Source organism: Homo sapiens, chromosome 12, assembly GCF_000001405.40.
Source record: "Homo sapiens chromosome 12, GRCh38.p14 Primary Assembly".
Lineage (NCBI taxonomy): Eukaryota > Metazoa > Chordata > Mammalia > Primates > Hominidae > Homo > Homo sapiens.
In genome coordinates, this window is record NC_000012.12 from 66900317 (window position 1) to 66924468 (window position 24152).

Below are 24152 nucleotides of genomic sequence, written 5' to 3' on the forward strand. Positions count from 1 at the left end.
TCCTAACCCCCACCCTTATAAAAGAGACCCCAGAGAGCTCACTCTCTCCTTCTACTATGTTAGGACAGAGGGCAAACACTGCCATCACATCTATGAAGCAGGAAACAGCCCTCACTGGACACCAAATCTGCCAGCCTCTTGATCTTGGACTTCCTAGCCTCCGGAACTGTGAAAAGTAAGTATCTTTTGCTTAAGCCACCCAGTCTTAGCCTGAACTGACTAAAACAGACACATACACTGCTATAGCAGGTCCAAAGTCATCAGGAACTCTAGAGCCTATCTTTCTACATAGTTTCTATCTGCAAGGCCTAAGGTGGCTATAGTGCTTCAGATATTACATTTCAGGCAAAAAGAGGAGGAAGAAGGGAAGGGCCAAAAAGATTTCCCTCTCAACTGAGTCAGCCTGCTTCACATAGCCTTCCCGAAAGCACACCCAAGGACTTCTACCTAATCTCATTGACCACCCATGGGAAGCTAGGAAATAAGAGTGTGTATCTGGGCACATTGCCAACTGGAAAAACATCAGGTTTCTAGGAGTAAATGGAGAATGGATATTGGGTAGGCAACTAGCAGTTTCTAAGCTAAAAGCTAAGACAAAATACTTTCGGTCTTGGCTCTTAAATCCTGCATGTTTTTTGAAAGTAGGAAGGGAATGCACTGCTATTTCCCTAATTTGACATTTCTCCCATGGGAGTAGAGATACATGAATGAAAATGAACCAGAATATTTAAATCAGCTGCATGGAAATTTATCACTCACATCTTCCAAATTATTTTTAAGTTTAAAATGAAAGGAAATCTTGATTACATGGGTTAAAAGAACAACTTTATTATATCAGAGGGAGCTATTCAAACTGAAATGTACAGCTTTGTTTTGAAAACAAAAACCATCCATTAGAGGGGGAGTTAGTTCATCAAAAGAAAGAATGAAACCAGTAAACATCTGCAATTTCACATGATGAGGGGAACAAAATATAAAGCTCAGTTATTTTAAGCAATAGACAAAAGAAAAAGTGAAAGCAGAAGTAGGCCTAAGACTTGTCACTCTTGCTGCCACAGGGCATACCACTCAATCACTCCGTGTGGACACATCTGGTGGAAAGGGAGGCCCTCCATATTTCACTCAGTTCTGCTTATGCTTCTTGAGACCCTCCAAATAGAAAAATCACATTATATATTTTGACAAGAGGCTTTCTTGTTTGCAAAGGTATCAAATAGTCTTACAAGGGAAGATGGCACACATTAAGAGATCATTTTTATGATGAAGAATAAAAGCCCTTCAATTCAAGGCTATGTCAGGAAAGCTGGGATGTACAGTAGCCTTAATAAACTTGGATTGACCTTTACAATCAGGAACTATAAGACTCTACCTGAGACTTACTGTTCTGCAAATGACACCTAAACCACAGGTCCAAGTCTCATATCCGGTCTGAGGGAAACCTGGCATCAGGCAAGAGACACGGAGCAACAGGAAGGGCAAAGACCTGCTCTTATTTCCTTGTTACCTTCTCACTGCCATAATGAACTAAAGTTCCATTGAGTGTTCCACAATTGTATTGTAATGTTTGGGAAGCAACGGCATACATAAAGTCTTCTCAAAATTATAATGCATTCAGCAACAAAAAACTTTAAGTATTTCTTGCTGAGTTGATCCTTCAGATCATGTGCATATGGGCAGAAAACATGAGCTTTGCAGTCAGAAATACTTGGTGGAGAATTAAGACCCATGATTCACTGGGCAAGGGTAACACTGGGAAAGCAATTAATATTTTTCACATGCAAAACTGGGGAACTAGTTCTTTACAGTGGTGTTGCAATGATTCAATGAGATGATACACAGCAAGCACCTGGCACTTAGCAGATATTCAACAAGTGTTAGAATCTCTCCCTCTCTCCCACCTCCCCAGACTTCTTTCCCACTCTCAACAATTCACTGTTTTGGATTTACATTCACATATTTAGCAAAATTTGATCATATTAATATATTATGAGGTTAAATGAGAATGCCAATCATATCACCAACATGGATTAAAAACTTTTGTTCCTTTACAATGTGACATTAGTCATAGACCTCCAAGAAATAGCTGGCCTGAGGGATGGTTTCAGGCAAAGATTCTGGGATGGTGCAGAAGTATGTGAACACCACCAGCTTCAAATCTCAGATCAGCTGAGCAGTCTCCCAGATGTCATTCAGCAGTCTTCCTCCTATACTCAGTCCTTTGCTCCAGGACTAGAAGACAACTCGTGAAAACTGCCAGTTTCATTCATCAGCTCAAAGTTGAGGTTACCAAGTAGGCCACTTCGGAATATTGCAAAAGAGATACAGGGAGAGATGAAAGTGAACTGGAATTTTTCATACCAATGACTTAATATGGGAAATAGTGACAATCTTCTGGGAAAATTCACTTAGACATCATTTAATATATTTGGATATAGACACAGAAATACTGATGTTGTTGTTTTAAGAGCTTGTATTTCGAATGAAATATAAAGACCCTTAAATGCATATTGTTGTTAGCGCTTTTGAATTATTGAACAGTAAAGATACATGTTCTGCGTGAAATGTTCATTTCTTCAATGCTTGGAAGTGAGGTACTAGGGAAAGCTTCACATATACGTGACAAATTAGTTGCTAAATTCTGTTTTTCAGACCATGGAGTTCTGATTTGTTTATTTTTAAATACATTATTTATACAAACACAGTTTTTTTTAGAGTAAATGCAAGAGAAGGGTATAGAATTAAATAACTAGTCAAATTCTGAAATAAGACAAAACTACCCATTAAAATACTTTCTTGTTAATTCACTTTAATGACTGGGAAATCCTTGACTTATTACTATGCTATGTAAATCAACATGCAAAAAAGCATTAAAAAAATTTAGAGCACTACACCGCAATCCATAGTTATTTATTTTGACAATTCTAGTTGTTTTAATTATTCATTATAGTACTTTATGGCAGAGTGTAAACGTGCTGCAGTATTTTTTTTTTTTTTGTAAGTTTAAAAGTCTGTGTATGGCAATACTTCAAGAGCGCTTTTTTCCTCCCATTAAATGTTTTGTATAATCAGGAAAGAGACTGCCTTTTAAGTAAACTTTCAAGGTTATTAACCAACACAGTAGAATAAATTATGTCCTACTCCTCACCTACTTTTACAATTTGAAGATTTTGAAGAAAGATAAATTATTTTTTAAAGAATATCTCCAAAAAAAATATTGTGAGCTTTGCCTAATGAAATTCTTGAGGTTAAGTTTTTAGTATTTCAAGGCTTCTGTTTGAAGGGGAGGTAGGAAAGAAAACCACAGATATCAAGTAATCAAAGAAAGATTTTAGGAAACACTACATTTTCTCTTTAAAGTCTATTTGTTGAATGTAAAACAACATAGACACAGAAGGGCTTAAATCTATAGATATTGTTCTTTCCCAAAATGATATGAAGGGAAAGAATATTAACAATAGACAATAAAGATTTAGAGATCAAGGATAATTAGATATCACCAAAGGCATCTGCACTTGCCACACTTAAGAATAGGGTTTATGGACTGCTGCCTTCTGATGGAGGATGAGGAAGAGAGATGGAAGTTAAACTCTTCTCTACTTTTACTCAGCCAAGCAAAGGTTTTCAACAGAAAGTCCCTAGACACAGCAGTGCAGTGTTTCTGCACCTGTTGACACTTTAGGATACTGGGTATTTCTTCAGCAAGAAGGCACTGACTGTTTAAGAGAGTAATTTTATGTGTGCTATAAGAAAGCAACTTTATGTCTGCCTTTTAGGAAGTATGGTATTTAATAGCAGGTTCATACCCTTTATATAACAAATACTGTAATGTGCCACTAGAAATGAACAGCAGGAAGGGGAAACATTTTTCTCCCTGCTATATAGGCTAGAGGGCACTGTAGTATAATCTTAGTAGAGACGTTTTCAACCTTTCTATAACCCAGACTTTTGCACATCAGTTATTGAACAAATATTTCAAACCCCTGCATGGTGGTGCTGCCCTGCCCACTGGCCAAGAACTGCATGGAAAAGTGGAAGTAATGGAAGTATTAATTAGTCAAAATGATAAGAAGCAAGGATCACAGATGGAAAATCAATTGATCTGAGAGTTGGCTGATGGTGTTTTCAATTATGAATTTAAAAAATGAAGGTTAGAAATGTGTATGAAATTCTGGGAATTTATATTCTGAGACTGTGTCTAAAAGACATATCTAATTGGGGAGTTCATCATATATTAGTTATTTGCTTATGAAACCCCATTCCTTTAAATAGGAAGCTTGTTAAAATGTTCAGATTGGGCTGGGAGCAGTGGCTCACGCCTGCAATCCCAGCATTTTGGGAGGCCAAGGTAGGCGGATCAAGAGGTCAAGAGATCAAGACCATCCTGGCCAACGTGGTGAAACCTCATCTTCTATTAAAAATACAAAAATTAGCTGGTCATGGTGGCAGGTGCCTGTAGCCCCAGCTACTCGGGGGGCTGAGGCAGGAGAATCGCTTGAACCCAGGAGGCAGAGGTTGCAGTGAGCCAAGATTGCGCCACTGCACTCCAGCCTGGTGACAGAATGAGACTCCGTCTCAAAAAAAAAAACAAAAAAAAGTAAGCTTTGTTTTTGTTTGTCTTTTTATTGGTAAAGCAAAAGAGAGTTTAAAAGATTGGCTACTTCTATGGTGCTGCGGTGTCCTCAACAAAGGAGATTTCACCATCCCAAGTCCTTAGATACAAGAAATATTGCTGAGTCTCTATGCATGTTGACTCTGTAAAAGCATTTGTGATACCTCACAAAGTAGATAGCATTTGGGTATTCAGTAAACATTTTCAAAATTGTAATATATAAACAAATGGAGGCTGTTTGTGTTTCCTTTTTACTTTAAATTCTAGTTCAAATTGCCCCATCCAGTTACCCATTACTATAAGTTGAAGGAACATGAATGTGGCAAGTTGCCTGGTTCTTGTTTTATAAAAATGTTCATTGTAGGAAATCTCTGCTCCAAGCTCCTCACTTTCCATATGTGGATGTTTGTGTTTGTGAGGTGTGAGTGCCTAGTGCCTAGATAGAGATGATAGATGCCATTGGAATTACATAGGTCAGTAGTTGGGCAGGGCAGAAAGCCCCAGGGGAGGATACTGAGAAACAGACAAGAGGGACTTTTCTTTGCTAAGATAATCTTAACTCTGTTGTTAGGAATACATGGTTTATGAGAGCAAATGACAATTCAGGTATGATTGAAATGAAATATTCTGTGTTTTCAATAGGAAATAATTGCAAATCAAAGGTTTTATGAGCAAGGGGAAAATAACTACACATCGACCCAAAATTTATATAAAGGATTCAACCTTTAAAAAACCTTTCTTGAATTTTCAGCTGATTAGAAGGTCTTATTATAGCTCATATTAATTACATGTGTTATTATATAGTCATTTTAAAGTGACAGACTAAGTTTAGAATGCTCTTGGCAATGCTCAGTGAGGATTTTACAAGAGTTTCTCAGGTTTTTAAATGATTTTTTCAACTTTCGCAAGTTACCTTAATAAAAGCCATAGTGTTTTCGATTTCTACTACAATGTAATAGGATAAATATATCCTTTTATATCTTTAAGACATTTTAAAGGAACATTTTCTGCACAAAATTTGAGAAGAGATGCTATTAGTAAAAAGGTGGTCAGTTCTCGATGTGTAAAACAAAAAAAAGGATGTATTAAATCATAAGAAAAAAAGGATGCTCAATTGAAAATCTGACTGGACTATCTAGGCACGCAAATATTAATAAAAATTTTAATTTCAAAGGCAAAACTTGTATCATTTAAAATCAAGGTAGGGCTGGTGCAATGGCTCATACCTGTAATCCCAGCACTTTGGGAGGCTGAGGTGGGAGGATCACATGAGGCTAGGCTTGAGGCCAGGAATTCAAGACCAGCCTGGGCAACATAGCAAGACCTCATCTCTACAAAAACAAAGAAACAAACAAAAAAATTAGCTGGGCATGGTGGACACACTTGTAGTCCCAGCTACTTGGGAGGCTGAGGTGGGAGAATCACCTGAGCCCAGGAAGTCGAAGCTGAAGAGTTGTGAGTGCACCACCGAACTCAGCCTGGGCAACCAAGTGAGACCCTGTCTCAAAAAAAAATAAAATAAGGTAGAAAAGAGCCCAGATTTCCCACTTTCTCTTATTATTTTATATATCTTCCTTATTACTCTCAGTACTGATGAAAGCAAGTTACCAATACATAGGATGTATGTAGTACAGCATCATTGCCACAGAAAGGCAGGATACTGGCCTCTCAAGCATATGCACTCTGGGACTAGGTCATCCCTAAAGGAGCCAAGCTGTTGCTAGGTAAGACCAGAACGGGAAGGCACAAAACAGACTGCAAATAACCAAAATGGGAGCAAGCAAGGGTAAATTACTTTGGTGTTTATTGGGCACCTACTAGACTGGACACCATCAGGGGCTAGAAATCTACATTCTTAAGATATACTTTGTCTATAGAAAGCTCCTAGTTGGCTTTTCTTTTTAACTTTTTATTTTAAAGTAATTTTAAACCTTGAGAAAAAAATTGAAAATTGTAGAAAAGGTTCCCATAGACCTTTCCCCCAGCTTGCCTTAATGTCAATATCTCACATAACCTTCATACCAATGACCACAACTAAGGAATTGACCTTGGTACAATACTATTAACTAAACTACAAACTTTGTCTCACCAGTTTTTCTACTATGGTCCTTCTGTTCCAGGATTCACTCCAGGATCCCACATTGCACTTTGTCATCATGTCTCTTTAATCGCCTCCATTCTGGGACAGTTCCTCAGTCTTTTCTTGTCTTTCAAAACCTTGTCATTTTTTGTTAGTTGACTTTTAAACAATCATGATGGAATGTGTAAGTTCTATGAGAGAAGTACATTTTTGCTAGTGGGGAGGAGAACTTTAAAGAAAGATGACATTTGAACTGGGTCGGGGAAAATAAAGTAAGATTTTGCCAATTTAGTACTTCTATCTCATCTGTTCAACTCAACATTACTTATAGTAATAGAACATTAGGCATTGGAAATATAGCATTGAACAAGACATAAATGGCCTCTGCTCATATGTATTTTATGAATATTAAACAAGCCACAACAGGTACATTAAGCATAACAAGGAAGAGATAAGAAGGACTGGGTTACATTCAGCAAATGAATCTCACCTTAGCTAAAGGGCCAGGAAAGGTTCCCAGGAGGAAGCAGAGGCAAGTTGAGATCTGTGTGGTGACCAGGGGTTAGTGTCAGGTAAAAGGAGGAGCAAGAGTGTTCCAGGAAGTGGGGGGTCAGCATTCCAAAGACATGGGGACAGCAGCACTTGTCATATTCCAGTAATTTCAAATGCTGTACCAATGAGATGACGATAGAAGGGGGTAGTGTGAAGAAAGACTACATGAGGTTGGAAATATGATGAGAAACTTCAAATAACAACAAAGAAAGGGGAGAAAACAGGTAGAAAAGTAAAACAGAAAGAGATTCCTACATCAATTGCACAACAACAAGTTCCATTCATTTTTCTGAATTATTTGAGGGGAGGGTGGCTGGAACAAGGAGAAAGGGTCATGCCAACCTAAGAAGAAGACATGCAAAGTGACAAGAACAGTGTTGGATTGCCCTTCAAGATGACAGAGATTAGGGCATTAGCAAAATTGGGTTACCCAAAGTGAAAAAAAATAATAAAGGTATTATTTTTCCAAAGAAGTATCAGCATCATGGAAATTTTAAGAACTTTGTTAAACTTCCTTAAACTTATTTTAATGACTCCATATTGTTTTTATTTTGAATTACATCAAATGGAAGATATGATTTCCATTTTTATGGCTTCTAAATGTCCTAGTCTTGGCCGAAAATACAGATGCTAATGACATTCCATCTCAAAACCAACAAGATGAGATGAATAAGAGAGTGCAGAACACAGCTTTTTTGGCAGGAGGGCAGAAGACCAGGCAGAGTGTGGGTGGCAGGCTGAAAGTCAATGACAATCTGATGCAGGCCTAGCCAGAGAACAGCAAAAAGTCCAGGAAAGTCTCTGTCACAGAAATCAGGGAAGGAGAGGATTTCAAGAAGGAGGCACCCCTTTCTACAGAGAGGTAAAAAAGGATAAGTGCTGAAAATGATTCATGTAAGATCTGGCCCTTAACAGGTTAGCTGTCATGGGTGACCTTTGTTAGAACGGTTTCAGAATGGTAATGGGGTAGACACTGTATTAAAATAAATTGAGGAACAAATATGATCTGAAGAAACAGTGTTGCATATTAAACACCCTCTTGCACAGAGTTTGTTTATGAGGAGTGAGATTGGAGTGCATGGTATATAGGACATAGAAAATATTTTAATGGAAGATGTTATATTCCTAGACCAGAGGGAAAAAATGATATGGAACTTTTTGCTGGAAGAGGACTGTATATCTTCAGGGATACTGTTTTGATGATGGTAGCTGCAATAATTTTTAGCCATAAAAATGTCTTCATTGCAGATCTAAGAGTAGTGGAAGCAAGATGTCTGCCTGGAGAATGACTACCTTGAACTTCTGATCTGAAAACAACCCTTGGATTTAAGAGGAGCCAAATGAAGCCTGCATTGCCATCAAGACTGCCTCAGACATAGTAACTCTATCTATCCCTCAATGGAGGAGCTTAGACTTCACAATGCACCCAGCACCAAACACCTCTTTCTTCCTTTTCAGCACATTCCTCAATATTTTTGTTATTATGCTCTCTTTACATTTGTGATAATACCATTTATTACTTATTTTAAATTTTTTCTTGCTAATTCACTGTTTTTAATCTTTTTGAAAAATCTCCTTCCTTCTCTCTATCCTTGTTATCATTCATGTCTTTGTTTTGCTATTTTTCCACGTTAGTACATTATGATGCATTAGTTCCTAGTGACATGAGCTCCTAGTACTTTCCTCACCTCTATCTCAAATGGCCTCTTTCACACCAATCATCATATCCTTCCAATGTTCTCTATGAATAATGAGAGAAGGTCATATGCCAAAGACTGAGCAATGCAGGTGGAGCAGAGAGCTTGGGGTGAATGCTAAATTCAGAATGGCTCAAACAAATAGGTTATTTACCTGTTGAAGACTGATAAGGGTTTTGAAAAATCATTGCATATGCAAAACTAGTTTCAATGTAAATCCTGTATATAGAACATTTCAACAAAGATGTTTTCATTATCAGCTCACGTGGTCAGTTTAAGGCTTCTTCCCTGACCTTGCTGCCTTCACACTCTACTCTTTTACTCCTTTCCTACTTATAGCCAATTAGAATTTACTAAGTGCCTAAAGAATGTCCTCATTGAGTTACATAAGTAATTATATGAAAGCTGCTGTAATGGAGGTAGAGACAGTGTGTGTGAGAACAAGGTTTAGATGATTTTCTTCTAAAACATCTTTTGGCTCCTTTTCTTTCTCTTTAGCCCCTCCCCTACCTTCTCTTTGTCTTTACCCTAGCTATTTCTCTTCTAATATGTCTAAAATATCATCTTTAGTTAACTGGCTGAACACAATAAAATAGTTCCAAGTTACTGCCATAATAATGTCAAATCTACTGAAAACTGGATCAAAGGCCTTTCATGCTATTTTGGACAGCATCCAAACTATCTCATTCCCACAACTTAAGTTTTTTTTATCTCATCTAAGCAGATTATAATCAATCACAATACTCTTCTGTCTCTGGTCAGTGCATTTAATCAAAGTCTTCTTTTAATGGACTTTCAAGGTTGAAGAGCACTATCACTAATGACTATACAGGTAGTACATGCAATTTCAGACACAGAAGCACATGAAATATGAATTTCCCTTGTTTGGAAGCAAGACTTAGGCTCAGGACACATCTCTTCCTAGCATTCATTATTCTCCTTCCTTCTGTCTTTCTGGCCAGTTTAATGACTACTTCATCACTAGCCTTTCTCCCCAGTTGTCATTCTCTCTCTGCCTAAGTACAAAAGATGAAGCAGGGTGGAGGGCCTATATCTATCTTCAGAGATGAGCCTTCCCTTTACTTTCTTCTCCTGCATTCTATAAAATGTAATTCCACCTTTGGGGAGTGACCATGGGCTTGCAAAACTCCTGGTTCACCCGTAATCAGGGACCGAAGCCAGGACACTGAAGCCATGGTATGACCACCAAATCTGTATTGAAACCAAAAGGCTGCAGCAGAAATCTTTAAGCAAGAGCTGCAGAATGTGTCAGTCATACAACCTTTCCAGCTTAAGAACTTATGAAGTTGGGTCTCGGTGTGAACATAACCACAGGCCCTTCCTATTTAGCACACCTTCTCTTAACCTCAAAAACATTTTGAGGACAAGGAAAAGAAATAGTGAGTGTGAAAATGAAACCCAGGAAACTTGAAATGAAGAGACTGAGAATCAAAGAATTAGAAATCAAAACGCAAATCAAAAACGTTTTCTAAACTTGACTTTGTAGACCAGTGATTCTAAAACTATGTCCCTAGAAGTTCTTCAAAGGTGCTTCAAGGACTCAGAGGGTACGTCCCTAGGCCATAGAATTCCACTTAACCAGAACAGCTCCATCTTTATCACTTTTACATACTGGATCTCCAGGTCAGACTTCAATTTGAAGGACAGGTTCTACAACATGAAGAAAACATTTTTCAACCATTATTTCAACTGCAGCCGTTCATACCTTCATCTATTCAGTAAACATTTATTGAGCATCTACTACGTGCCAAGCATTGTGCTAATGGATGGGGATACAAAAATAAGTAATATATGGTTGTTACCCTCAAGGGGCTCTCCCTGGAGATGGGTAGAGAAGCAAATTATGCAAAACTCAGAGCATGGTGATTTATCAGGTGCTACAACAGTGGGAGAAACTGGAGCTTTGAGATCCCATAAAACAGGTGCTTTAATATCTGGAAATTGGCTTTGAAGCTCTACTTAAATATATCCACTGGGGGGAAATTCTACAAAATGGTTGATTATGCTTTTAACACTTATAACTCTTAGAAAAAAATTTTTAAAGGCGGAAATCTATGTTCTGAAGGCTTCAACCCATTGGCTCTAGTTTTATTGCAAAGTATACACAGAGTCAGTCCACTAACCCTTTCCACAAGATTGCCTTTTAAGATTGGAGTTCAGTCATCATTCTCTTCTCCTGGCATTCTACTCTCTAGGCATACCCTTTGTTTATAATTATTATATCATGGCTCCATGTAACTAAGAAAAAAAGGGAGTATATTTTGGGAGAGAGAAGGTTTGAAGAAATGACTCCTACTATGTGAGAGCTTTATTTGGGATAATTGTAAGAGCAGTTCCTGGTGCTCTCCTAGAATCAAGAAAATAGTATGTAGATGAAATTGGATATAATAAAATATAACCACAGATCATTAGGGCTCATTTTTCTTCCTTTCTTATCATGCAAAATTAATGAAAATATAGAGGGTGTCCAAAAACATACAAGTATATTGAAATATTTTACTGATGTTACTTTGTTGGCATGTTCAATGTGTCATCCCTTATTAACAATACTTAGTTCAATGCACTGAGCAACACTGGAGTGAACACAGTGTGCAACCAGCTGCCATCAATTCCTGGCACCAGCATCTGAGATATGTTGCCTACAATAACTATATCTCTGGTTTTCGCTGAATAAACCTGCATCTTCAGCTTACTCTAGAAAAAGTAATTACATCAATCTACATTTTTAAAATAAAATAATATTACCTACATCTCTGGATTTCATAGCCAGCATCTATGTTTCATTACATTTTAGTTTTACTTTGTAATGATTACAACTTTTAAAAAATGATCAGTTTAAATAATATTCCAAAATGTTGGCATACTTAATTTTATAAAACATAGGAGTATTTCTTTTTTAATCATAATTTCTATGTATATATTACAAAGCTATTACTGGATTAGGAAGCTCTGAAGGCCAGTGTGAAATCTAACACACATATAATGTTATATCTATGAAAAAATGTATCCATTCAAATGGTTTCAAGATTAATTTTCTGGACACAGACTTTAAATATTAAGTATTTCACTTTCACTACAAAATTTAAGTACCAAAGGAATTGAAGAAATACAGAAGCCTGTTTTCTAAAAAAAATGTATAGATATTACTATGATGTTTGATGTGTATTAAATGTGACTTTGATCTTCCTGGCAGCCTAGGCAAAAAGAAAAAACATGAAAAAATATTCAATTATATTTGATTCATATCTGATAGGATAAAATACTTTTTAAGGGAAAAACAAATATTTTATTACTATATTTCAAACAGACTTTATCAAGGAGTATTAATAAGGGGAATTTAAATAAGGCACATTTAGTAATATGTCTTCAACAAAAATATGCAATAGAAGACTGAAAAAATAATCCTAACAATGTTATGTATTACATATATCTTCAATAAAATTTAAGAAAATAACATTAATGTCATCTAGTGAGGGTATTTTTGTGGGGGCTACAATCGAAGAAGTCAAGGAATATCTCTCTCTCATGAACCATGATCATTAATTTATGAGCGGAACCTAAATTAATAGAAAAGGCATGACTATTATTTTCTTTCTCTACTCAGGTGTGGCTGTTACAGGATATAGATGGAAGTTACCTCAAGTTTAAACTCTAATGAAAAAACCCATAATGCAGGTACCACGTGTTCATGCCTGAAAGAACTTCAAATACCAAACATGAATGTGCAAAATTAACACTCCATTATAGAAGCTGAAAAACTGCCTACAATCTTCACCTGGATAAGAGGTTGCCAAACAAGTCGGCCGCCACAGCATCTAGGGCAAAAATTGGCCTCAAAAAGCAGCTTTGGATCTGCTTTAGTACCTGAAACAAGTGCTTGAAACTCCAAAATACCATAACAAATAATACTCTTTATCCATGTATTTCTTTACTCCAAAACTTCTCAAAGCTTTTAATTAGCTCACAAGCAATGTGGACCTCCCAAAGTAGGCACAGCATGTGCAGTAAACTTATCTAATCACAATGTCCCCATTTATTGGAGCATTTTGCAAGATTAATGTCTTATGGAATACAGTTTAGAAAATATCACCAGAGATGACACAAGCCTGAATATCTTAGCAACAGGTATCACAACCTCAGAAAAAAACAAAACAACAACAAAAAAAACCCTCAGTAATGTTCCAGTAAAACATCTGGTTTTCAGCAGCAATAATGCATCAAAGATCTTCCAACTGAAATTAACCTTAAAACATTCTCCCATACACACAACTAAATGAACTAGGCTTCAGGAAGGCATTGCTTATCATTGTTGGAGAATTATTTTGTTATTTTGTTAAAATAACAACAGCTTTGGCATACTTTATATTAAGCTGCTCTTTAAAATAATAATGTGACAACATAATCAGCTGCTTCCTGGAGGTGGAAATAGAAATTCAATGTCTTCAGTCTAAAGAGGAATGTTTTTCTATTCAATTATATCAGGAGGTCAATCAAGTCATAAATCTGAAGCTTCTAACTTAAGATAAATGAAAATGGAATGACATTAAAATATTATACTGTTCATATCATTTAATGTTAAAAATAGTCTGTTAGTAGATAATTCCTTTTCATTCCTGTCATCAAAGAAGTATTTAAATACTGATTTTGAAGTATCATCACTAGCCTGGACTTGATAATGATAATACCCAATAATTACTGCACCATGTGTAATAGTATACTCTTGTTAAAGTCATTAAATTCTTATAACAATCCTATGAGATCAGAATTACGCTATCCCTGTTTAACCAATGAGGAATGCTCTACAGACTACAGAAGGACACTATGAGAAATAAGGAGACATTTTCTTTATCTGTAAATTTTAACCACTTTTCTCACGTGCAAATAGCAAATTCTGGGAAGGTAATTGTTTTTAATTTGACCTAAGATATCTAACTCAAAATGGGGGGTAGGCACATAATCAATAATGCCAGCCCCAGGATTAAGAGAAATTCTTCTAGGTTTGCTACCTATTTTGCTGTTGTTAACAATATAGGTAAAGTTTATAAATACTCTTCATTTGGGCATTTACATCTTTTATTCATTCAGGTTGTCTAGAAAAAAACATGTAATGGATATGAATTGTGTTATTGCAAATTTTACTTGCATCATCTTTTCTGCTTCATTTTGCTAATCATAACTGTGATGTAGATATTACCATAATTAAAAATGGCCAAAACATTAGCACATCAGTAATGACTACAGTGGATTAGCCATTCCTAGTATGTTAGTTTCAATTCTACCTCATTCTCTCAGGTTTTAAGAAAGCATATCAGAAAGAAATAAGCATTATGATAGGGATACATTTGAGTCTACTTTAAACTACATAAAAAAGGAAAAACTGGCTCTTAGCCTTCCCTGTTTGGCGTTTCTCTGGTGAGGGGTTTGGTGGTTCAGAGTACATAAAGTTTTAAAGATCAAGAATCCGAAACCTGAAAATCAAAGAATCTGCATGTACCCTGGCAGGAGAAAAACAAATATCAAGATACTGTAGATGAGTCTAATCAGGGAGCTGAATTAAATCAGACTAAGCCAGGCATGGTGGTGCATTCCTATAGTCCCAGCTACCTCAGGAGGCTGAAGCAAGAGGATCACTTGAATCCAGGAGTTTGAGTCCAGCATGGGCAACACAGAGTGACCCCGCCTCCCCTCGCAAAAAAGACTAAACCCCAGAAAGCAACAAGCTTCTCTATTTTATGGACATAAATCATGTCTCTGGATGTCCCAGTTTTGTGTCTCCCAATTTACCTGATCTTGAGGGAATTCATTTCCTAAAATCTCAGTCTTCTGCAGACAAATAAAGTCCACATATTGGACAGAAAGTCCAAAAGAAAACTTGGGAGACTGGAATCTTGCTTTTGAGATGTTGCTTCTGACATGTTCCAAGTAAAGAGTTTTAACTCTAAAAGGAATAAATCTCCCAGAGAACTGACTAAGTGAGGAAAATGTTGTCATTTTCTTTCTAGAAAATGCCAAACTGTTTGGTAAATGCCTATTAACTGGAGTAACACCATGAGAGTTAGCCTGATTTAATTGCCTCTGCATCTTGGGGTGGTAGTGGAAAAGACTGTAGGCTTCCCAGACAAAGCCATCTGGAGATGAGGGAGGGAGCTGTCTAGACAAAGAGCCAGCTAGCTTTAGAAAAGAAGAGTGTATGGTGACAAAGGCGAGTGAGACGGAAACAGGGTGGAATCACACAGAGTGTGTTCTCAGCAGGCATCAGACGTGGGTGGGAATCAAGCAGAGTGACGGAATCGACACTGCTGTCTGTCATCAGCCACTGCAAATTCCAGATTTGGCACAGATCTCCTAACTGTGTAGCTTTTGCATGTGAGGCTATCTGTTGAGAAGAAAGATATTAAACAGGGTGGGGCCTATGTCTTGTATGCTGGGCAATGAACTTGTGAGGCCTCAAGCCTGACTTTTCAGAATTGCTTTCAGGATTACTTCCTGCTGCTGCCTAAACAAATATAATGAGTGACAGCCAGACACTGAGTTAGACATTGGGGATGAGACGAGGAAGAAAATATAGTTCTCCCTTCAGGTTGCTGAGCACCTATTAACACTCAGCCAAAATTGGAAGCAAAGGGAGAGGAAGTGCATTCAGAATATTCTTCTCACAGGAGGTCTCTGTGAGAAACTCATCATGCCAGAAGGCACCTGGCTGGTCCTTGAGAAGGGCTGAAGCATGCTTTTGTTGGGGGCAAGGGCAGGTGGGCTAGTGGCACTCTGGGCATGTGCATGCACGCATGTGTGGGCACACACAGAATGGTGCATATTGTGGAGCCTATGGGTCCTAAGTATGCCCACCTCTACCCTAAATATAAAATGATTGTATCAGAAAGCCTAATAAAAAGGAAAATGGCAAGTATGTTTTTAAAAAAAGTTCAAAATTAGTGGACAAAAAGTCCCACATGCTATTTTAGGTTGGGGCCCCTGCAAATAACACGGAGGTATCTGTACATCAACTCCCTGAGGCTGGAGTACAGCAGGAAAGCCAAGCCCTAAGGGGCTGGGATGCTCCTATCTGGAGAATTTGAGAGAAGAACCTGGTGTTCATGCTCCCTTCCGCCCACACACAGTTTATGCCTAATCAGGTTTAGGCATGTAGAATTCAGCTCTCCTGGGAAGTCCTGAGTTTGTACAGACAACAGTCTCAGCACTTCGCCTTCCAGCAACCCCTTTCAGAAGCCACCAGTGTGCTGTAAAGTGCCTTTCATGTTTAAAAAAAGAAAACCCAAATAAAACCTCCAAATAAAAAATATTAGAAGTATTATTTTTTTAAATGCAAAATGTATCTACCATTACTTCAAAATCTCATATTCCAACAGGTTTCTTAGGGGGGTTAAAAAAACGATTATTCAAATATTTTTTCTTCTCCACTTTTTGCAAAAATATTAAAGGAGGCACAATAAGAAAAAAACAGCCAAGAAAGTCCAGGAACTGAAGCCTCTAATAGGAAAAAAAAATCTTAATACAAAACAAATTTCTTGTATTATACTCTTTTGCCTAGGATTGAAAGGCATTTACCCTACCTAGAGGCCTGATATTCTAAAACAAAATCACTTGTATTTCCATTGCTTTGTTAAAATTAACTGTGTTCAATATAAGATAAACATCATATAGCAGTAGGAATACATCTTTATAAAATAAATAAGATTAGACATTTTTGTTTGTCTGGTTAAGCTAGAAAATATTTGTTTCCTTACAAATGTTCCAAATTTTATTATCTATTTTCTGGTGATCTCCAACACATTTCTCAGATTTACTAAATTTAATGTAAAGAGGGTTTTCTCCGTCTACCATAATCTTAAAATTGCATCCCATGTATTTAAAGAGTATTTTAAGTTCTTCACTGCATGTTGTAGCTATGCTTGTTTTTAACCTTTCTATACTTTTATCAGCATAGCCCTAATTTAAAATACATTCACATGCTGCCACTCTAATCAATAACAAAAACAACAAAACTCAGTAACCAATAATCTCTACACTTGCCTAATACATTTATTTCAAATACAGTCCATCTTACATAGCAACAAAGAGTTGTTCTCTACACATTGTGAGCACACTTCCCTCAATCCAGGAATGAACTGCTGATTGCCAGAGATAGAGAGAAAAAGCCTTATCAAAGAGCATCTATTCTTAATTGTTTATGGGAAAACTATGCCACAATGTGTATAAAGAATAAATTAGAGTTTAAAACTGTGTATTTTTCATATTATAATTTGTGTATGACATTAATTGATAAACACAAGGTAAAGAAATAATTTCCTTTTATCACATGCCAAGTGTAGTGCTTCATTTTCATTATTATTTATCCAACACCTAAAATATTGCAGAGGGGAAATTTACTGCATTAATTTCAATCACTAGACATTTAAAGAATGTTCTGAGACACTTTAAAAACATTATTTTAATTTCCTCTGTTTTCTCAGCATCATTCTGTTTAAATCAGATATTCTAGAGAACATTAAACTGGACAAATTAAGTCATTTTATATAATGTTCCCTCTAGTGTTCATAATTTTCAAAATGATTACACTCCGCCATCTATCTCTTTATATCTCTGAACCAAAACTACTGAGTCCTAGTGTATCAGAGTTTTCCAAAGCAAGAGAACCAATAAGAGATGTATAAACACACACACACACACACACACACACACGGAGAGAGAGAGAGAGAGAGACTTATAAGAAATTGGCTGACACATAAGAATTGGCCCTCAACTGAGTGGATGAAGCCCACCACATTAGTTATGGAGAGGCTATGCAGTCCCAAGATCTGCAAGGTAAGTTGGTGAGCTGCAGACTTAGAGGAGCCAATGATTCATTACAGTTTGAGTCCAAAAGCCTGAGATCCAGGAGAACCAATGGTATAGTTCAAGTTTAAAGGCCTGCAGGCTTAAGACCCAAGAGGAGCCAATGGAGTCCAAAGGTAGAAAAAAAAAGGTGATGTTCTAGTTTGAAGGCAGTTAGGCAAGAGGTATTCTTTTATTTCAGAAGAGTCAACCTTTTTATTCTACTCAGGCCCTCAACTGATTGGATGAAGCCCACCACATTAGGGAGGGCCATCTTATTTTCTCAGTCAGCCAATTCAAATGTTAACTTCATCCAAAACACCCTCATGAGAACACTAGAATAATGTGTGACCAGATATCTCAGCACCCTGTTGGCCAGGCAGGCTGACATATAAAACAAATGATCACCCCAACCAATGATATTCCCAAATGTACTCCCTTTTGTTCTGTACTTGCTCCTAAGTCTCCCAAATTCCAAAGATTTAGGACATTAAAATATTTTCAAACAACCTGTATTCAAAAAAACCATATCAACAGGAAGTTTTCTTCTCCAGAAGAAAAATTATCCTTCTTTCTCACATTTACAAGAGCTCCCTGTTATTTATGTTAGCTGCCCCCATGAAAGAGTAATATCATCAAAATAAACTAAAAGAAAACATTAAGCCTAAGTTCAAATACCAATCTTCATTTGGCAACTTTCTCCAAAACTCCAAGAATATCATTAATTCTACAACATTAAAAACATTTTATGAAAATATAAAATGAAAACTAAGGGTACATGAAAAAATTATATTTTCATTTAAGCTTTCTTTATGCCTTGAAATAACCTTAAAATGAATAAGAAAAAATTAATGCACAAGTACTGAACATTCATCATGAATGGTTCAGAAATGAGTAGGGCCAGAGGTCATTTGAGCTTCAGTCCCACAAAGGGCTGTCATTTTATAACACCATGACTTTCTGCAGTTTCAGAAAAGCAGTTTTGTTAGGTTCCCCCAGGCTGTAACAGGTATGAAAGAATGGATTTACCATAGTCCAATAAGAAGGAAATCTATGTAAATCCCAAATTATCAATTTTTTAAGTGGAAGACAGTTTTTGACCCAAGAACTAGGAACACATCTGCATGGGACCTGTCCTTCTTTAGGGTTGGGAAAGAGGGAGGGTGTTCACCTGAAAGCAGAGTTAGCAACTGGCAGTTTGCTTGGTGAGAACAGAACAGAGCTAAGATTATTATACTCCTTAGGGAATCTGAACAAGGTACCCCAAGGAACTGCCCTTCTCTACTTTGGGGATCTTTCATGTAAAGAGCAAGGTGGATTCATTAATAATCAAAACATCTTCCCTCTGAGCAGTGCTGGGGAAAAATTGCAAATTCTTTCTCTGCAACTCCATTTCCTTTTCTAGACTACACGGGGACTGGTTTGCATTCATCATTACATCATTCTCCCTTATTTTTGGCTTACATAAATAGACTGTTGTCTGCTTCCTAATGACATAAAGGGAGGCACCTCAATGACACCAATGAAATGAAGCAAGAATTTGGTTTGGGGCTTGACTTTTTTCCCCCAGATAATTACCTCAATTATCCATTCCAATGGGAGGGATAAGGAAGTGAGGTAAGCCAGAAAAATGTGTCACAATGTATAATATTCACTTGCACCTTCACTAAAGTAGGATAAAGCAGACACTCAAATAAAGAGCTGGAGATACGTTAAGGCAATATTATAAATTTTTGTTAAATGCCTTACATACAAAATGCCTGAAGCAAATTTTTACCTTGGTAAAGTTAAAATATTTATAGATGTACTTATCTGTACATTGAATATATTATATAATCAATTTATATAAGAAGGGCTAAGAAGGGCAGATTAACTAGAAATATTTAAAAAGCAAATAATTGTCAATAATATAAACCCAATAGAATATTTAAAGGTATACCAAGAAAATGTATGTAAAGAATAGGTTGTTAATAAATTTAGTTTTGGCAATAAGTCAATTTGAATAATAAAACACATAGAGATTATCAAGAATTAGTATGAGTCAAGAAAAAAACTACCCAAAAAATGCCTGACTTTGACGAACCTGTATTAAATAATAAAACCTCAGCTGTCCAGCATTGTTGAGCAAGGTTCTCTTCCACCTAATTAACAGAGTATGCCAGTGGCTTTCTCTGTACTTCCTCGTGCTTTTACTCTCCCGCCTACCCAGCTTAATGTCTCCTGGCCCACTGGTATAATCACTCCTTTGCAGTCACCCCTGGTCCTTGCCATCAACCTGATTAAAAAACAACCACCTGATTATATCCACACACATGCCTTCTATCTCCTTCAAGCAGCTGGATGTTGTGAGAGATACGATGACAAGACACATGTCACATTCATGTCCCAAAAGCTCAAGGAGTAGTAAGCACTGTCCAGTGACTGGAGGGAAAAGGACCATCAAGGAAGTTATAGAAGGAACCCAAGAACTAAGGGGACCTTTTGATGTCTGATGAAGAATAACCTCTTCCCCACCAGGTCACTGATTACTCTTAATATTTTTATGTGTCTAGGAAAGAAAGTTATGTAACTCAGACATAAATCAGGCCCATAGCCCAAAAGGCTTTCCTTAAAACTTTATCATCTTGGGGGAATCTCTACTCGGCTTACCAGTGTCCATGAGGACCACTGCTGCCCTACTAAGACTTGTACTTATTTTGAGTGTAATACTCTCCACCTCCCTAATACCTCAATCCCAGTGCCAAATAATGGGAATGCAATCATGTGATCCGTTCATCTGCAGTAAGGCATAAACGGACTTCTCTAATGATCTTCTGGCAAATTGTAACATGAAATGAGGATGCATCCTGTCATTCTCTTTCATGTGCCATGGCACAACCCAGCCTCTGAACATAACCGTCTAGGAAATGGTGACAGGAAATTAAAGTCACTACTGGGAAATGAGAGGTCCTGATGTTACCATTAGAGGCAGGTGATACGTGAACCATTGTTACCAGTCATGAGACAGCACTTCTCACCTAGATGGACATAATAGATGACTTCAGAAGCCCTTCAGCTCAGAGAACTGTTTACAACAGCAAAGAAAATGCTATGATAGCCTCCGACCTAATATGTTGTCCTGGCAGACACAAAATAGCAAAGAAAACTATTTTCCATAAACCCAACATGTGTCAACTGCCTAAAGCCCCAGGCAAGATTCCACACAAAATACACAGGAAAGGGACTGCTCCTGGCTCCTGACATGTCAATACATAAGATCAGTACACAAGAACAAAAGCCTTATCTGGATCATTGAAAGGTATCTGGGCTACCTCCTAGCCAGACTCTTGAGCAATTTCTTGGCCTTGTTCTTTACTTCTATTAAAATATTTCCCAGGTGAATCCACCTTCCCATTTCTGGGCCCCATGCATGGATTTCTCCTAGTACTGCAGGCTCCTGCTTTTGAACTCAGCATAGTAGGGATGGGGCACCCACAGGTGGCCTGACATCACTGACTGCACCCACTCACTCATTTGTACACTGGGGGTAGAACATTATACTAAGTTAAACATGAACTAGCAAAGAGCTAGGACTGAACACACAAATCAGGAAGAATTGTTCCATCTCAACCTGCTTAAAACCATCCAGAGAAACTGGAATCTCCAATAGGAAGCATGTAAATGATTGAAGAATCAGTTCTATAGATCTAAAGGCATTATTTTTCCCTCCACTCTGAATGTTCCTCTTTTACATGACTTTATGAATTCAGGCCATCTTTAACTTCTTCTAATCTTTAACTTCTCCTAATTGTCACTAAAAAGTAGCTACAGAGGCTACTGCTCATTTTCCCACCTGCCTGCTATCTGCAAGGAAAGAGGATTAGAAAAAGGGGAATGTTGCTTCCATAAACAGAGACATGAAAAATTATTAATATGAAATAAATCATGCTTGTTTCAAAAGTGTTTATTTCACCTTATCTATTTGTAAAGGATGTAGCTGGTTTATATTTCATTTAGAAACCAACGGTTTATAAGAAGAGCCAACAACTGTGAAATTCTCTTTGGGAAAGAATGAGGAAAACCAATTAATAAATACACAAAACAATCAGCAGTAAACACTTTTTTAATATATCCAGCTTCCCTGGCTCTAGAACACATCAGTAACCCCCAAAGCAATTTACATGGTGCAAGGCTTGCCCTGGGGTGGGAGTGAGGAGGTAGAGAGGAAGCATCATTGCCCTTCACCCACCTTCTATAAAACCAGGACTCCGTGTTCTCTGTCATCTTAAAGAGAAATCAGTGGCAGCTATTTACATTCTTAGCTTGTAAGAAAGTTTCACAATGTACCCATACATTGTCAAATTTTAAACTAAGGTTTCCAAATGTTGGATGTACAACAGATTTCTGAGTAGGAAAGTGTTGCAGACTGCAAGTATTTATGAAATATCCAGTCTTTTTCTTAAAAAGCAGGTCCTTATACAGTTACAGGCAGCAATGTGCTTGAGTTAAGAAAATAAAAACCAAACCCATAATTCCTGAATTCCTTTGTGCTTAAGAGTATCCAAACAGATTTTAGCAAAAGTCATTGACAGGCTTCTGGGAAAATACTTCAAAGGGAACTGACTCAGTTGACTGCTTTTACCCTTCCCCCTTTTCTCCCTCTGGCTATCTGGAATGTGGGCATGATGGCCAGAACTCCAGCAATTATCTTGTGAATATGAGGTGGTCTTGAGGATAGAAAGCCTGGCCTAAGAAAAGTAGATCAAAAAGACAGGATCTCCCTCTGAGCCTGGCACACAGTGGGCATATAATAAATATGTGCTGAATGCACTATACATTAAACAAATTCCATTTAAGATCTAGCAAAATCCCTAGAAAAAAATATTGATATATATGATTGAGCCCATGCTGCAGGTAAAGCTGAGCCACTGATGACTGTATGAATATCATACAAGCCCTTCGCTACCTACCTCAACATTTATTTTCTACGAGAGAAAGATGCACCTCTATCTTAAATGACTAGTAGCTTGGGTTTACAAGCAGCTGAACCTAATTGCAATTGATATAAACAGTTATCAGGTTGTATGACTTCCTTTTTAAAAAACTTGTCTTAGGCTGACACAGTGGCACATTCCTGTAATCCCAGCATTTGAGGAAGCCAAAGCGGGAGGATCACTTGAACTGGGAAAGTCGAGGCTGCAGTGAGCTGAGATCGTACCACTGCACTCCATCTGGGCAACAGAGTGAGACCCTGTCTCAAAAACAGACAAAAAACTTGTCTTGCCATACTGCACATTATTTGGCAGTTAGATATCTCACTAAGTCATAGTCCAGAGCATCAACTGATTCCTTGGGAATGCTCAACAACCCATTCACTTTCCACCATCACCTCACCCTCCTACTCAACAAGAGTTCTTCTCAACTCTTCACAAACTTTTAACCCCTTTATCTACCCCCACTCAAATCTAAGCAGAAGATCTCAGAAAAAATAAAGTAGAAATCATCAGATAAAGGCTGCCACAGCCGCCTCCACCAAATCCTCAAACCCACTTGTACTTTTGAGTCAGTACAGAGTAAGAACCCAGTTCCAGATTCAGAAAGACCTGGTTGAAATCCCAGCTCTGCTATCCACTTGCTGAGAAATCTTGGGAAGATCCCTTACCCTAAGTTTCAATTCCTCATCTATAAAATGGGAGTAATTGTTGTATTTATACTCCCTGAGCTTTCAAAAGGATTAAATGAGATAATTTTTCAGCATTTTTTTTTTTATTTCTTGAGATGGAGTTTCGCTCTTGTTGTCCACGCTGGAGTGTAATGGCGCCATCTCAGCTCACTGCAGCCTCCGCCTCCCAGGTTCAAGTGATTCTCCTGCCTCAGCCTCCCGAGTAGCTGGGATTACATGTATGTGCCACCACACCCAGCTGATTTTTATATTTTTAGTAGATGTGGGGTTTCGCCATGTTGGCCAGGCTGGTCTCGGACTCCTGGCAGCAGGTGATTCACCCCCCTCGGCCTCCCAAAGTGCTGGGATTACATGCATGAGCCACCATGCCCAGCCAATTTTTTGGCATATTTTAACACAATGCCTGGAACACAGAAAGCACTGAAACAATTTTAGTTCACACTGTATTTAAGTCTACATCATATTACACTATATTTAAGTCTATATCATCATATCTGTCAATATCACCACAATGCAAAGAGCCTGGCACACAGTGGGCACATAATAACTATTTGCTGAAGGCACTATACATTAAACAAATTTCATTTAAAATCTAGGGGAAACGCTAGGAAAAACTATTGATACATATGTTGGGGCCCATGCTGCAGGTAGAGAGACAGAGATGTGTCTGTGCAACTTCCTTAGAGTCACATCATTAGC

At 37.6% G+C, this 24152-nt stretch overlaps 1 protein-coding gene and 1 long non-coding RNA gene across 8 annotated transcripts in view, besides 1 other annotated feature; both read right to left on the reverse strand.

The window, feature by feature from the left end:
- GRIP1 (glutamate receptor interacting protein 1) overlaps window positions 1–24152 on the reverse strand; it is a 721908-nt gene that overhangs the window by 552886 nt on the left and 144870 nt on the right. The window lies entirely within an intron of this gene.
- On the reverse strand, window positions 804–22927 carry LOC124902956 (uncharacterized). Its single transcript, XR_007063353.1, has 2 exons — window positions 7180–22927; window positions 804–6880 (listed from the first exon to the last, which is right to left on the reverse strand). It is a non-coding gene; the product is annotated as an uncharacterized LOC124902956 (long non-coding RNA).
- Window positions 866–1075: an enhancer, noted in NCBI's record as "active region_6622". NCBI's record gives its function as "activates an Ori minimal core promoter by ATAC-STARR-seq in GM12878 lymphoblastoid cells {active_cell/tissue: GM12878}" and the evidence as "EXISTENCE:reporter gene assay evidence [ECO:0000049][PMID:35858748]".